The sequence below is a fragment of the Homo sapiens genome, chromosome 6 (assembly GCF_000001405.40).
Source record: "Homo sapiens chromosome 6, GRCh38.p14 Primary Assembly".
Classification (NCBI taxonomy): domain Eukaryota; kingdom Metazoa; phylum Chordata; class Mammalia; order Primates; family Hominidae; genus Homo; species Homo sapiens.
The window spans coordinates 75,305,949-75,323,113 of NC_000006.12; the positions used below are offsets into that span (position 1 = coordinate 75,305,949).

Consider the following 17,165-nt stretch of genomic DNA (forward strand, 5'->3'; position numbering starts at 1 on the left):
TGCAAAGTTTTCATCCCATTCACCCCTACAAAAAGCACATTAAGTTGCATCTTAAAAGTACTGTCTTCACAAATGGAAGTTGGATTTGTGGTACATTTAGTTCACCACCTCCTATCCCCAGTGGATTTTATTTCTAATGTGTGGCTTAAAGCAAAGCTATCCAATAAATATAGAGTGGGCTCTAAAATTACAAAGAAAAACTGTCATGGTAGTTGTTCTTTATCATTTCTGAAAAGCAAATCTGTGTTGTTCTGCCAAGTTTTTTTTAGCAGTTGTACTTTGTGGGTGGCTCTATTCCAATATCTAGATGTATAAACATCCTGTACACGCACTGTTAAGCCTTCAGAGCACTCTCCTGTAGATGGTATAGACTTCCTGGAAGAAACACCATAAGCATGATGTGAGAAGGTAAAAGCAAAAGCAGCAGCAAGCGGCAATAAGATTATGATAAAAATCACTGAAGAATGGCAGGTGGAGTCAAAAGGAATGCGGTGTTTGGTTCTTCTGACACCCTCATTCGCTCAAATACAATACGTTATGGTACAGTAACACTAAATACTTCACAAATGTCAGGTACACATTAGTAAAAACAGTGAATGTCTTCATTTTTGAAAGCGTTGAATGTTCACTTTATGAAAGAGGAAAAATCTTGTAAAAAAATATGTCAGTATTCCAAATGGCAATCTCTCTTGTTCAAATTTACCCAAAATCATAAAATGTTCTTTCTCAGTCTCTCCCTCTCCTTTGACCTTGAAATCCCATTACTATGGCAGGTCTTTAACATGGCTCCTCAATTTTCTTTTTTTTCCTTTTTTATTTTTTGAGACAGAGTCTCTCTCTGTCGCCCAGGCTGGAGTGCAGTGGCATGATCTTGGCTCACTGCAACCTCTGCCTCCCAGGCTGGAGTGCAGTGGCATGATCTTGGCTCACTGCAACCTCTGCCTCCCAGGATCAAGTGATTCTCCTGCCTCAGCCTCCTGAGTAGCTGAGATTATAGGCGCCCACCCCCACACTCGGCTAATTTTTGTATTTTTAGTAGAGATGGGGTTTCACCCTGTTGGCCAGGCTGGTCTCGAACTCCTGGCCTCAAGTGATCCACCCACCTCAGCCTCCCAAAGTGCTGGGATTACAGGCATGAGCCACCATGCCTAGCTACTCAACATTTTGTAATATAATGCCGAGAACTGATGAGCAGTAGGCAACAGCGATCTGATTAAAATGAATGTGAATACTATGAGGCATCTACATCTACCACCACTATATACAATTCAAGCCCAAGTTCTGCAAGCAATAGAAAATCTGGTGTGGAAAGGAACTCAGAGAAGAGCTTCGTTATCATGAAACATGTTGAATCATGAGATAAAAATCTAATCATACATCTTTTTTTTAAAGAAGTATGCTTTTTCCCAAATATCAAGAACAGGTGCTATCCATATAATTTTGGAACACTCACAATTCAAAAATGGAAAACTAAAAATCTGTGACTTTTTGCTGTTGTATTTTTGTAAAGTTCACTCAGTTGGCTCAAAAATGTCAGCAAAGGTGCAGCCTACATGAGATCTTGTGTGCTAAGCTGTGGGTTACTAGCCTTGAACTCGTTTGTGGTTATGTGGCTATGAAACACAAAGTCCACCTTAACATGGTTAATCTCACAAATACACCTGGCATTTTGCACTCACACTCTGCTTCATGCTTATTAAAACATGCCTAAAAATGAAAGAAACTGATTCAAACAAGAGTAAAACTGACAGAAATAATCCACTTCTCCACACCACACACACACATACACACCCAAATCATGAACTGGTTTTACACTTGCAAGTCTATACTTAATTGAGAAAAATATTTGAATTCAATTAAGATATGCATGATGTCATTTTTTCCCTTGGCATTAATGTATCAGAATTTACTTTCTGCTATTTTCTATCCATCACAATCTCTGTTGAGCTATAAAAGGCCATTTGGCAGCTCTTTTCAAACTATTCCACAATTTAAATCAATTGCACACTTGAATAGAGCACGAGTCTGACATTAATGATTTTAAAATTATTGCCTAAGAAATTCTGGGAATCTTATGGAGGAGCTAAAACTTCTACAATACACACAGACACACACAAATAAGTAAAACTCTGTTCTTAGGATTCCATATTTCATTTCCATTTTATTACATGTTCACATTATTTCCTGAAATCATCTTAGAACCTTTTGTTTTTGCAAAATTTTAGAGGTCCAGGCCCTGTGATAGCTATGTGATGTTTTTTCCAGCACATAAAGCAAATTCATGATGTGAAAGAGGCAAATGACAATAGTTAAAGTATGTCTTATTTTGTAATAGGATTTTTTTAATAAAAAATTATTGTGGAACAAGGTACATTAAATTTGGCTTGCAATTAGGAAATATGGGAGCCGGACTTGAAGAGCGTGTGATTGAGTCCCCACATCTAACTGATGAGGAAACAGGCTCAGATGGGTCTATTGATGGGTCCACTTGCTAGAAGCAAAACTGGAACTAGAAACCACGCCCTGGCTTCTAGGCAGCAAGCAATAGTTTTGCTAATTTTGTTCCCCAGCATCAAAACAAATGCACAAAATGGGAAAGACAAATGGTTATTAGTTGGTTATTTTATAAACACAATATTTAAAACTTAAATTAGTACATGTAAAGAACTGGCACAAACAGATGAAGGTTCACTTTCACGGCAGCAGTAGCATCTGCACAACATACCCCCTTAGCCACTGCCCTCAGCCCTTCCCCCCTCCGAGAGAGGTGGTGCTGCTGGCTGCAGATTTCTTCAGCTCTATTTTCATAGACTGAGTCTCAGCTCGAGGCTCGAATTTGGTCAGATTTCCTGCTCCTGGGGCTGCCACTACTGGCTTTCCTGCTTTCATACCTTTTGACATAGGAATGCGGGTGGGTGTAGGCCGCTGGGATGACCCGTCTTGTCCTGACTGTAAGAGAGAAAATACGTAGATACAAGGGAGATGTTGGTGAGTTTCCTCTGGATATGCCATCAATCTGAACATTAGTGGGACTCTTGCCACACAGGAACACCCACAGAAGACCCTTCCCCAGATAAAATAATTGTGAGAAACTTGGAGTTTGTATCTAATCCACTCTGATTATCTCCCCTTCCCTTCACTTAAAACAACTTTGCTTGAAACTTCCTTCTCTTCTGAAGCACTAACTTACCTCCTCTGCCCTTACTGAAGATGGCCTTAACTCCAGTTTCACAGAGGAAATAAATATAGACCACCAGGCAAAAACTCAGGCAACTTTACTCCTACTGCTCCCTAAATTAACTCTACACTCCCTCCTTTCTTCCATTTCAGATGAAGCCACTCGCTTTTCACCTCCTAAAGACCTCAGAATCTTCGCATGTTATTGTCGCTGCTGACCACATCCTCCTTTTTAAAGTGCTCCTAACACTGTCTTGCTGTGATTTCTTAGGACAGACTCATCAATTCACCTCTCATATCTGATGACCCCTTTTCAATCTCTTGCTGGCTTCTTGTTCTCTACTCTGCCTGCCTTCTAAATGTGTCACCATGTTCCATTCTCAGCCTCCTTTTAATGTTTAATATTCACCCTGAGAATTGCCTTAGTTATTACCCCATGTGTTCAAACCCTGGGATCCCTAGGCTTCAGTGCCCTCTAGAAATGCAGATCCTTATTCCCAACTACTCACTGGACATTTCTGATGTTCCCCAGACATCTTAAATATAACATGCCCCAAACATTACTTATCCTCTCTCCTAGACAGCTAGTCCCCCTAAAGTTTCTCATCTTATTCTCCCAGACAGCCAAATCAGAAACCCAAGAGTCACCCTCTCTACTCAATTTGTCATGAAATCGTTATGATTCTGTCTTCACTATATCTCTGTCCTCATTTTCACTACCATAGTTCAAGCCTGCTCCATCATTAAGATAGAGAATTGCAACAGCATCCCTGTCCCTCCAAGTTATCCTTTAAACTGTTTTCCACACACATGTTTCTAAAACATAAACAGTATGTTTTTCTCATGATCATCACCCTTTCAGTGGCTCCCTTTATCTAATCTATAAATATCAATTTCATAATGAGACATGTATGTGCCTCCCTTCAATATCCAACCCCAGTTTGCTTCCTTATTTTCTGCCCTTGCATTTTTTGCCCCATGCGCAACTGTTAGCAGCACAATGGGACTGCTCACCATTCCCCAAGCACGCCAGGCTCCTTCACACTGTCGTGCCTTCGCACATGCTGTTCTGTCTACAAAATCCTTCTCTTTTCCTTCTTGAAAATCCCTCTTTAACTGTGAAACCTCCACTTCTGTGAAGCCTTCTCCATTGGCTCCTTTGTACATACCTCTATCATAGAACCACTAAGTAGATTCCAAACCTGTCTATTCCACTGAGTCAAGAACTTCTACAGTCCTGGCTTCCCAGCACCTAGCCCATGCCTAAAGTGTAGCTGACACTCAACAAATGTTGAATGAATAAATGTACAAATGAACTACCCTCAGTGTTTAAATTCTAAGAGGAGTATTCCAAACCTTTTGTCCTTGATTTTATGAGATCTGATATACTTAAAATAGGTGGACCATTCAGAACTTAGAAATCTTAGACAGTTGCTTTGAAATGCTACCCGTGTATGAGGTTTAATCAGTAGTCAAAAATGTCAATACAGAGGGTAGGGCTACCTTGATCTGACACTTAAAAATGGTAAGAAAATGTTACGGCAGAAAATATGCTTTAAGTTACAATGATTTATACCTCCAATATCTTTTTATAAAATGCAGCAGAAAGAAGCAAAACCCTACACAACCAAGCTATGCTCTATGTTACCTAAAAAGCAGTATCGGACCACCTGAGGACAGTGAATAATTCTGAATGCTATTTGGCTCATAAGGAGCCAATAAGTAAAAGCTTTACTGGCAAAGCAATTAGTAATTCACACTTTGGAGCCTGCCTCGAGTCTATGTTTGTGCATAGAAAATTAAAGTAAATCATATTAAGAATATAGGAAAATAAGCCACAGTTTCTATATTTAAATTATGAGCTTCCTGTCTTTCTTAAGAGGTTTCAATTTATGCTGTAGAACTTGTTCAGGGTCTAGAAATCACGATTTCTAGTCTATTAGCTTAAGTTAACATCTAAACAGTACAAGCTCTTCTATAATTACATTTGCCAATTTGCCACCAATAAATGAAGACAATCACTGGAAGTATTTTGAAAAATATAATTTATAATTTATTTATTTATTTACTTTTTTGAGACACGGTCTCACTCTGTCACCCAGGCTGGAGTGCAGTGGCATGACCGTGGCTCACTGCAACCTCCATCTCCTGGGTTCAGGTGATTCCTGTGCCTCAGCCTCCAGAGTAGCTGAGATTACAGGTGTGCACCACTACACCCAGCTACTTTTTTTTTTTTTTTTGTATCTTTAGTAGAGATGATGTTTTGCCCTGTTCCCAGGCTGGTAGAATTTAAGTTCCGGCTTTTGTGCTTTGCACATGCTTTTCAATAATCATTCATTTAGCCTTCCAGCTAGTTTGTTTGTTTGTTTGTTTGTTTGCTTGTTTGTTTGAGATGGAGTCTTGCTCTGTCACCCAGGCTGGAGTGGCATGGCACAATCTCAGCTCACCACAACCTCCGCCTCCTGGGCTCAAGTGATTCTCCTGCCTCAGCCTCCCAAGTAGCTGGGATTACAGGTATCTGCCATCATGCTCAGCTAATTTTTGTATTTTTAGTACAGACAGGGTTTCACCATATTGGCCAGGCTGGTCTTGAACTCCTGACCTCAGGTAATCCACCTGCCTCAGCCTCCCAAAGTGCTGGGATTACTGGCATGAGCCACCGCACCCAGCCCCAGCTATTTATTAAATAAATATTTATGAAGCACGTGCTGTCTGCAAGATATGATTAAATAAAATACAGTTTTTATACATGTAAACTCACTTCTCTTTCACTTTTAAAAAAGTTTTTGATATTAAAATCTTCTCATCTTATTTTGGGATAAAATATGACTGTGGCCATATATAACCACATATTGAATATTTTAGTTCATAGAAACATAACCTAGGAGCAATTTTAATTCTTCCTCCATATAGACCATTTCCCCCGTCTCCATTCAAAAAAAGTATCTTAAACATTAAAATCAAATTTTAAGCCTTCTGATTACTATATGCTACCATTTCAAAGAGGCTATCTTTGCAAGTATTTTATGGCACTCTCCATAATTTACATGAATAGGTGAAGTTTTCCCTCAAAGTTGGCCTAATTTATTAAACTATTAGGTCACTTTTTACATTCAGTTCTCAGTGTGGATGGTCCTCTGGGAAGCATCTGTTGGTGGATTCAGGTAGCATGAGAAGCATGTGGCTGGGTTTTACTGTGGGTGCTGGGTAGTCTCACTACTCACGTCTCCCTCCCTCTGCAGGCCTGCGCTTTGGAGCCTCTTCTACTCACCACTGACTGGGTTCCTCGAGCAGATGACGTTGTGACCGGTGTTATGGTGATAGTGCTCGTCACTTTGCTTGCACCAGGCCGTGAGGAGAGGTGATTCCTGGGAGAGCGAAGGACAGTGCCGGTGGAAACCTCCTTTTCGGCTGTCACGTTTACTGGTCGGACAGTAATAACTGGACTGACTCCTTCACCTGAAGTCCCAGGGGACCGTTTAAACTGAGACCCTAAGTGAATGTGAATTTTATTGTCCTCTGTGGTTATGATATTGGCATTGGAGTTGTATTTCCGTACTGGAGTTGGAACAGTCTGTTTTTCTGGGGTGACTTTGAGGATTGTCCGTCCCATGGGCATTTCCTGGGATTCGGGAGAAACTGCAATCTCAGCTGGTGCTGCTGATGTAGACACCGTCATTATCTGAATAGGGGATGTGGGCCTGTCTGCAAATGCGCCTCTTCCACTTTCTGGAGTCTTCTCTCTGGAAAATGTAGTAATTGTGACTGGGGACATGGCTCGTTCTGGGCCAAGAGTAGTATCTCCACTTTTTTGTTTTTGAGGCATAACGTTTGGTGATGGAATAATGGTTATTCTTGGTTTCTGATTCCCTAAGGTAGGAATGACAGTGGTACTAGAAAAAAATTCTTCAGATGTCGGGCTTGTTATCTCCAAAGTCGCAGTGCTGTTCTCGTGGTCTGGTGTCACTCGAATATGCAGGGGCTGGCCCTGCTTTGGTGAAAGGACTACCTCTCCTGGGTGCCCTGGACTGGAATTTGTTCGGGGCCCTTTCTCCTGAGTGATGGAGGGGCCGTTTTCCCTCTTTCTCATCCATGGAATCCAAGACTTTCTCATAGTGAGCTCATTTGCTGCTGGAGGATACCTGTCTAGAACAGAAGATCTTTCCACGGGTTTCTTCAATCCCACCTGCCGAAGATTACTCATAATATGATTTTCTTCCTGGAAGGATTTCCGTATGAATACAGCTGGCGTTTCTTCCTCTGCTGCTTCACCGCTGACTGCATCAGTTTGGACTCCAGTTGACGTCACAGGAACATCCACCATTCTTCTTCCATTCACACTGGGCCTAAGAGCTCTGCTGTAGCGCTTGGAAAGCTCCAACTCTTTGGTCAGATTGAGAACCTCCTGCCCCATGTTTTTGTTCTTATTTTCTTCTTCCATAAATCTTTGTTGAAGTACAGAATAATCTACCTGGAGCTGAGAAAGCTGATCTTCTTTGTTCATTAATTCGTGAATCTTCTCTTTAAGAGCTTGTACTTCGGCTTTTAAGTCTCGACTTTTAGCTTCTTCCAACCGAAATCTGTGTCTCAGTTCAGCTTCCTGGCTCACAACCTCACCCTTCTCTATTGCTTTATTCTTGGCAATTTGGTGCTTGATCTCCTCTAGTTGTTGAGAGAGGAAGTTAGCCTTATCCTGCTCAGTTCTAAATTTCTGTTCCAGCTGATCATACTCATCTTCTGTCTTCATCAAATCCCCTTCGACCACTTCCAATTGTTGGAGACGTTTCTTCAGTCTCTCAATTTCAAGTGTTAGTTCCTTAATCTTATTATCTTCCGGGCAGGTGAGCTCAGACCCTTTTCGTGACCTTCCTCTTGTTATTTCTCTTTCCACTTCCTCTATACCATCAAGTCTCTTCTTTAGTAAGTCAACACTGCAGCTTAATTCAGAGGATTTTTCTTCTTCACTTTTCAATTTGCCTATCAACTCATCTCTTTCTCTTGTCAAGTTGTATACTTTTTCCTCCATTTCAGATTTTAGTTTTAAAAGTTTCTTACTTTCTTCAATTAGTTTTTCAGTTACATCCATAACTTTTCCTTGTTCCACCTTAAAATTTTTATTGAGTCCATCCACTTTTCTCTCTTCTTGTTTTATTTTTTCCATCATATTTTTCCTTTCATCAACCAGCATCACGGTAAATGACTTCAACTTGGTAAGATCATCTTTTAGGCTTAATTCAGCCTTTTCCAATCTACTTTCAGAACATTCCAATTCTTTAACTCGACTCTTGACCACCTCCAATTCATTTAGCAGGTCTTTGGTTAAGTTCTTTTCTTTCTCCAGATTTAAATGTAGCTGGGTGCACTCAGATTTACTCTTGCTAAATGCTTCTTCCAATTTCTCTAGTTCAGACATTCTCTTCTGTAGCTTCTCAACTTCAAGTCTGAGCTCCTTACTATGGTGTTCTTCCTCTTGCAGCTTCTTCCTCAATTCCCTACACTGGGATTCAGTTTTAGTGATCTCCTCATCTTTACCTTCCATTTCAAGCACACGCTTTCGAAGATTTTCCACTTCTGCCATGAGGCTAGAGTTTCCACATTCTCCTTTGGCAATTTTATCTCTTAATTCTTGAAGTTCTTCCTCTGCCTTCTGCAGATTTTTGTTGGTCTCTTCTAGCTCCTCGATTCTTTGGGTTAAGCCAACCAGCTTGAGTCTAAGTTGCCTATTGTGAGACTCTTGATTAGCCAGTTTAGCGTTCATCTCTTCATGCTCTTGAGAAAACCTCGAAGCCTTGTGTTCAAAGTCCACTTCTAACTTGAGCAATTTCTGTCTGTCTTCTTTGGATTTGGAAGTAATGGCTTTGAGCTTCTCTTCTTCTTCCCTCAGCTTCTGAGTAAGATCCTGTACTTTCTGGCTTTGCAGGCCAAGTTGTTCAATGTGCATTTGTCTTTCATCCACCAGCATGAGTGCAAAGGATTTGAGTTTAACAAGCTCATCTCTTAGTTTATTGAGTCGTTTAGCATTTTCCTTTTCTTTGCGGGCTTGATAAGCCTTTTCTTGTTCAAGGAGCTTTTTTAACCTAGAAAATAAAATATACCTATATGTTAAAAGAGTAATCAGCAAACAGATTTAAGCATTGATATTAAATAAAAAACAAAAAGCCACTACAATAAATCCCTTATCAATTGCTATAATTTCAATGTTTAAAGAATAGCCATTAATGAAATGAATGGGAAGTCAAAATATTAGTTACCCTTAGGGGTAGTGGCTAGAAGGGGGCATGAGGAGGGCTTTGAGTGTAACTAGTTTCTCTTTTGTAATTTGCATGCTTGCTATACAGGATTGTTTAGCTTACCTTATGAAATTTCAGTAAGCTGAACACTTCCGAGTATCTTTCTGCATATGTATTATACTTTAATACAGTAGCCATTAAGTAAAACTTAGGTTGTGCAATAATAATGACTATTTACATAATGTCTTCTGTATCCTTGGTGTTAGCATTTACTTTATTCTCAGAGTAACCCTATGAGATATGTATTGCTACTATCATCACCATGAAAAAACATGAGATACAGGGGAATTATGTAGCCTGCTACAGATCCCAGAGTCAGTAAGTGGCAGGGCTGGGTTTCAAACTTAGCCAGGAAGCCTTCAAAATTATTGCTCTCCACCTCTGCATCATATGATTTGAGGAGATAAATTTACTTTAAATGATGGTAAAGGTTCAGAAAAGAAGCAGCTTTGGGTTTTCTTATTTTAAACCCTTGACGTAAACTACGTAACTGTCACCTGGAAGGGACAAAGTATGACTGGCTTTCTGATACAAACACTGATTTACATAAATTGATTTTAGTTCACACCAGAACTGGCACAGGATTTTTTTATTTAAACAATACTTTTTTAATCAAGAACTAGATAGCAAGAAAATCTGTATATCAATACAAAAATGTGGCAGCCACAGGAATTATTGTTTCACTTGTGTGAAATACATTTTCTCTATGGCATTTATGAATATCTGTAAAAAGTAGGAATATAAATATGCTGAAGTAGCTATTTACCATTCTTGGGTTGGTCAGTTAACTTGTACTAATTTTAATAGTTTTTTTATTTACCCATAAAACAAAATTATAATCATATTTGCCATGTTAGTGTAAGAATGCATTTTAGTAATTAATAGGTTTATAAGGGAAGCAAGTTATAAACAACCAATGACATGCACTTATTTAAGTATAATAGATTTTATTCTTTCAGTGTATTTTGCTCCTTTACTATTCTGACTGATTAATTTCATATTTATGACTAGATTAGCTGTTAGCCAAGTAAATAGAATTTAATAGTCTCTCATTGCATTGTGTAAGAAATATTTGTGTGTTTTTTTTTTACTTGTCACTGACTGAAAGCTGGTGTACAAGAAATATTTGAACATACATTAGTAAAGCACAATAGAAGCTATTAATAATTAAATACAGTGTGAGATAAGTATTACAGAAATGGCTCTGATCATGTCGTTAAGATTTTTTCATAGAATTTACTTTTATAAAGCATGATTGTGTCTCAGCATCTCTAAACTAATGCATACCCTCCAAAAATCATTATGACTTTATTCCTAAAATAGGAGGAAAATATGATCTTCAAGTCCTACTGATTTGCCTAATACTGTAACAGCATCACTAAATGTGGTCCTTACATGTAGAAAACAGCATTTTATTGACCATGTTCTCTTTTTACTAAAAGTTGAAACAAGTGAAATAATGTCATAGAACCATAGATTAGGGGAGAAACTTTTCAGGATATTTTCAACATAAAATACCATTTTCAAATTCCTTGCCCTTAACTGGACTGTTAGAGATTAATTTATTGAAAACGTTACTGCTTCCAATTCTAAGCTTAACATGTTAAAGCTTCTAAAAATATATTTTTAGGAATACTATGCCTCTATACTGTTAGAGGCAGTGGATTGGAGTGACTACAACATAGGTTTTGGAGTCAGACAATCAAATCTGAATTCTGACTCTGTCACTTTCTAACTGTGTAATCTCTGGCCAATCACTGAAACTCTCTGATTCTCAATTTTTTCACCAGTAGAGGAAAGAGGGAGGGATATTAACCCATTTATGCTGGAGGTTGCAATTTTTTGTGTGTGAAAAATCAGACCTTGGTGATGACCTTGAGAAGCAGGATATAAATAAATCCCACAAGCTTAGCGTTCCAATAATGGAACACTAATACCAACCATATAGAATTGTTGTGAAGATTAATTGAAATAGTAGAAGTAAAGTGACAGATACATAGACTCAATACATGAATGTAATAAAGCACAAAAAGATAAGAACTATTGTATATGCTATTGGCTTCATCTGGAAAGACTGTCAGTGCTTTCTATATTTAACCAATAAATATTTTTGTCATTATCCTGTCTTTGATAGTAAAACTTGGGGCACTAATGTTTCAGCCAGAGAAAAGCAGAAGGCATTCCAATCAGTGGGAAATTCCATGAGCTAGAGCGTGATCTCAGCAGGAATTTGGCTTCCAGGAAACCACATTTTTCACGTTCTCCTAGCTGTGATTATTTCTGTTTTTCTAACCCCATTAGCTTACTCTCCCTCCTATTCTCTTTCACCACATCTTAAACCATGCCCATCTCATAGTTAAAGTGGCTCTACAGAAATACCAGGCTCATTCTCTGTGTGCTCCCAAAACCCAGTTTCCCAGTTGGTACAGCTGAGGGTCAGATCCAGGATCAAGGTAAAGTTGCTCAGCTCATTTTGGAAGGCCTGCCAATGCCTTCTGCACAAATAGACCTGCAATCAAACTTCTTACAGGCAAGACATTGGGGATGGGAATGATGGGATTCAATACCTGACCTCCTTGATAAGTTCATGTCCAGTCAGTCTCTCCCGTTATCTAACATTCCTTGCAAATGCTGTGTCCTCTGCTTAGTATTTCCTCCCTGCTCCTTTTTTTTTCATCCTGTCACACGTCACACTCAACTGAATGTTCCTGGATAGCTTTTCATCCTCCAAGTTTCACTTCAATGTCACTTCTTCAAACCCAATTAAGTCAGAACTTCTTATAGACTCCTATAATATCAATTATTATACAGTCTTTTTTTTTTTTTTTTTTTTTTTTAGAGACGAGATCTTGTTCTGTCACCCAGGTTGAAGTGCTGTGGCATGATTATAGTTCACCGCAGCCTCAACGTTTTGTGCTCAAACTATCCTTCGACCTCAGCCTCCCAAATGGCTGGGACTACAGGCACATAGCACATGCCTGGCTAAGATTTTTATTTTTTGTAGAGACAGAGTCGCCCCGATGTCACCTAGGCTGGTATTGAACTGCTGGTGTCAAGTGATCCTCCTGCCTCAGTCTCCCAAAATGCTGGGATTACAGGTGTGAGCCATCATGCCTGGCCCAGTTTTCTTTTATAACACTTAATCAACATATATTTTTTTCTAATAAAAAAGTTATATTTACTTAGAAGCATTCAGAATGTCAACAAAACTGCTGCAACTTTTTTCTTTGCAATTACAGAGTGGTATTCAGTTAACAGAACAACAATTATTTCGTATAAGCTGCATCAGAGACAACTGAAAAAGAAAAAACTACCATCCCCATATATAATTAATTTGTGCTGTGCACCAACAAGAACCTGCTTTAAATCTATGCCAATTAACAACCTCCATACTGTCCCAGGCAAGGTTACTGGCTATTGAAAATACTACCAGGACAGGACTATCTAAAGACACACTCTGTAGAGTGTTAACTATACAAAAAAAAAAGACACTGTACAGTTTAAAAAATCTTACACAGCTTTACATTTCAATTTTTTTCTTTAAAAAGAGTGAGTTGTGTACAGGGAGGTTAAATGCTTTATAGACATGAAAAAAAACTGTGCTAGAACCAACTTATTCATCATCGTCATCTTCTTCATCTTCATCTTCTTCACCTTCTTCCTCCTCTTCATCCTCTTCATCTTCCTCCTCTTCCTTCTTTTTCTTGCTTTTTTCAGACTTGACAATTCCCTTTTATGCTGCATCAGGCTTTCCTTTAGCTTGATATGCAGCAATATCCTTTTCTTGTTTTTCCTTCAGCTTCGCAGCCTTCTTTTCATAAGGCTGCTTGTCATCTGCAACAGTATTATTTCACACCTGTCCCAGTTTCTTCCAGCATCACCAATGGGCAGGCCAGGATGTTCTTCTTTGATTTTTGGGCGATACTCAGAGCAGAACATGAAAAAGGCCGAAGGAGAGCTCTTGGGTGCCCTGGAGTCCTTGAACTTCTTTTTTGTCTCCCCTTTAGGAGGGCTATAGATTTCATTTCTCTTTCATAATGGGCCTTGTCCGCCTTTGCCATATCTTCAAATTTTCCTTTCTCTTCAGCAGACATGGTCTTCTACCTCTCTGAGCACTTCTTAGAAAACTCTGAGGCCGGGCCCGGTGGCTCACGCCTGTAATCCCAGCACTTTGGGAGGCCGAGGCTGGCGGATCACAAGGTCAGGAGATCGAGACCATCCTGGCTAACACGGTGAAACCCTGTCTCTACTAAAAATACAAAAAATTAGCCGGGCGTAGCGGCGGGCGCCTGTAGTCCCAGCTACTGCGGAGGCTGAGGCAGGATAATTGTGTGAACCCGGGGGGCGGAGCTTGCAGTGAGCTGAGATTGTGCCACTGCACTCCAGCCTGGGCAACAGAGCAAGACTCCGTCCCCCAAAAAAAAAAAGAAAAGAAAAGAAAACTCTGAGAAGTTGACTGAAGCACCTGGGTGCTTCTTCTTATGCTCCTCCTCCGGACAAGTTTGCACAAAGAATGCATATCATGACATTTTGCCTCTCAGCTTCTTAGGATCTCCATTGCCCATGTTTAGTTATTTTTCTTCAGCAAGGCAGAGTCGCCCAGTGCCGGTCCGGCTCTCATTTGCCCCGGTGCTGTCTCTATGGAGCTCAGTTACTGCAATGGCTGTCCCAACTTATAATTTTTTTAATGTCTGCCTACCTCTGTTAATGCAAATTCCATGAGGGTAGCTGCCATGTTTGTCTTGTTTGCCCCCTTGCGTAATGCCTGACACATAGGATGTGCTCAAGAAATATTGACTGAATGCATAAACAAGAGAAAGAATGAAGATATAAACTTGAATTAGAAACATAAATCTGTAGGCTGGGAGCGGTGGCTCAAGCCTGTAATCCCAGCACTTTGGGAGGCCGAGGCAGGCAAATCGCTTGAGTCTGGGAGTTAGAGACCAGCCTGGGCAACATGGCAAAACCTCATCTCTACAAAAACAAAACAAAACAAAGCAAAAAAACAAAAATTAGCTGTGTGTGGTGGCATGTGCCTGTAATCCCAGCTACTCAGGAGGCTGAGGTGGGAGGATCACCTGAGCCCGGGAGGCAGAGGTTGCAGTGAGCCGAGATCACATCACTGCACTCCATCCCGGGCAAAAGAACAAGACCCTATCTCAAAAAAAAGAAAAAAAGAAAACAAATATAGATCTGGAAATTACCTAAATAGAGATGTATTAACTAAAGTTCTCCACGATGCTGAGTGAGTATACATTTTTGTTAAACAGATATTGCAGTTGTTATTAGGCCAGCAATTTTATATTAATAGTGGTTATTAGATGAGTTCCTCTGTCTAATGAGCAATGGCCTCCCTTGAAGAACGTGTCCATTTTAATTGTTAGCCTATTAGAAAAGAAATGTGTCTCTCAACTGAGAAACCTCAAATGAGGGAGGGAGCCTTCTCTATATGGGCTGAGCAAGATATCCCTTACTATCTGTCTACCTGTAGCACTGGAGGCTGAACAACCTCTATTTAACCTATAAAACAGCTATGGGAGTATTAGAACAGGCTGAATTAAGGCTTTTTTTCTCTCATAGGTTTTTGTGTCACTAGTTTGTCTTAGTTCTTCTTCCTCCTCCTCCTTCTCCTCCTCTTCCTCTTCTACTTCCTCCTTCTCCCTCTCCTTCTTCTTCAAGATGGCATCTTACTATGTTGTTCAGGCTGGTCTCAAACTCCTGACCTCAAGCAATCCTCCCATCTTGGCCTCCCAAAGTGTTGGGATTACAATTGTGAGTCATTGTGCCCAGACTGTTGTCGTTTTTTTGTTTTGTTTTGTTTTTTGTTTTGTTTTTTTAAAGGAAAGGGATTTTCACCCACAGTTGGATCAAAATCTAATGTGGAGCAGTACACCCTTGGGTCTATTGGGAAGAACAGTGGTAATTAAGGTGACAGAACTCCTAGGAGGAAAGAAAATCAGAGGGAAACATGCGATCATTTTGTCAGCCATCCCACCCTACATAGAAATTTTCACAGTGCTAAAAAGCTTAGTAATTGTTAGATTTTTATTTCCATAATGGAGGTGATATTTCCTTAGACATAGAAATGAATGTGATCGGCCGGGCGCGGTGGCTCACGCCTGTAATCCCAGCACTTTGGGAGGCCGAGGCGGGTGGATCATGAGGTCAGGAGATCGAGACCATCCTGGCTAAAACGGTGAAACCCCGTCTCTACTAAAAATACAAAAAATTAGCCGGGCGCGGTGGCGGGCGCCTGTAGTCCCAGCTACTCGGGAGGCTGAGGCAGGAGAATGGCGTGAACCCGGGAAGCGGAGCTTGCAGTGAGCCGAGATTGCGCCACTGCAGTCCGCAGTCCGACCTGGGCGACAGAGCGAGACTCCGTCTCAAAAAAAAAAAAAAAGAAATGAATGTGATCTCCAAAGTAGAACATATCTAAAGAGAGAAAAAGGATAGGATGGAGAAAAAACTTTGGGAAATGCCCAAAAATGAGAGATAAAAAGAATTAGAAGGACCTATGGAAGGCCTGTGCAGAGAGAGAAGAGGAGAAACAGATACAGAGAAAGAGGGAGCCATGGAGAAACACAGGAGCACCCAAGGAAGAGGGTTTTGGGAAGGCAGGAACAGGCTTGTGTCTCACTTTATCCACCTCCCCAGTCGATTCAGCATTCCACTTGCAGATGTTTTTTTCTCTTCCCTCATATTTAGAAATCCTCATTTTACATTAAACAAGCATTCGGCATTCAGAAATATAGCATGTATCTATTCACAAAACATAATGCCTATGGCATATTACATCTCTTTTTTTTTCAACAATTTCCTAATAGTTACAATTTCATTTTACACTTCAAACAATTAATTTGCTCTACATTACTGGGCACCATTTCCGTGTAATTATGCTATTTAAGAAGCAGAATAAGAGATTTAAGTTTTGCTTGTGCCAACTAGTCTTACCACCTCCTCTCCATTCTCTTCTCCGCTCACCTTCCCATTCTTCAACTATGCCTTGATTCTAAATATATTAGCATGAAAAGGAAACAAACCAGAAGACTAAGACTAAAAAAATAAATTAGTACCCTGATTCCCATCAGCAGTCACAGGTAGAGCCCTAAGTATCCTAAAATCAAACTTTTTCTTGGCAAATTTTAAATTTTCTGCAAGCATTTAGTCCTCTTTAGAGAACAAAGACAAGTAAATGAATTAATAGGTATTTTAAATTGTTATTGCCTTTCTTAATAACTATTCTTAAATGTATTCTTAATTTCTTATTTCATACTGAATAAAATTATACTTTTTTTTGAGACAGAGTCTCAATCTGTCACTCAGGCTGAAGTGCAGTGGTGCCATCTTGGCTCACTGTAACCTCAGCCTCCCGGGTTAAAATGATTCTCCCACCTCAGCCTCCTGAGTAGCTGGGACTACAGGCATGTGCTACCACACCTGGCTAATTTTTGTATTTTCAGTAGAGACGGGGTTTTACCATCTCGGCCAGGCTGGTCTAAAACTCCTGACCTCAGATGATCCACCCACCTCGGCCTCCCAAAGTGCTGGGATTACAAGCATGAGCCACTATGGCCAGCCAAAATTATACTTTTTAACTTGCAAATTGATCACTTATCAGCATGTTCAGAAATTTAATTATTTTCAACTAGAAGACTTTAAAAGTGTGGGCCCAGAAGTTTTTCCTTTTTTATTTTTATT

The 17,165-nt window shown here is 39.9% G+C and overlaps 1 protein-coding gene and 1 pseudogene across 8 annotated transcripts in view; both read right to left on the minus strand.

The window, feature by feature from the left end:
- Positions 1–17,165, minus strand: part of FILIP1 (filamin A interacting protein 1) — a 201,942-nt gene that overhangs the window by 14,090 nt on the left and 170,687 nt on the right. For 4 of the 8 annotated variants that reach the window (NM_015687.5, XM_047418647.1, NM_001289987.3 and 1 more), the window contains 2 exons: positions 6,449–9,254; positions 2,142–2,949 (listed from right to left, as the gene is read on the minus strand). In NM_015687.5, the coding sequence (NP_056502.1) occupies positions 2,743–2,949; positions 6,449–9,254 (3,013 nt within the window). In that variant the 3' untranslated portion in view covers positions 2,142–2,742. Of the gene's footprint in view, positions 1–2,141; positions 2,950–6,448; positions 9,255–17,165 lie in introns of those variants that run through there. The other 4 variants (NM_001300866.3, XM_047418648.1, XM_005248713.5 and 1 more) reach the window with 3 other exon arrangements.
- HMGB1P39 (high mobility group box 1 pseudogene 39) lies at positions 13,084–14,032 on the minus strand (annotated as a pseudogene).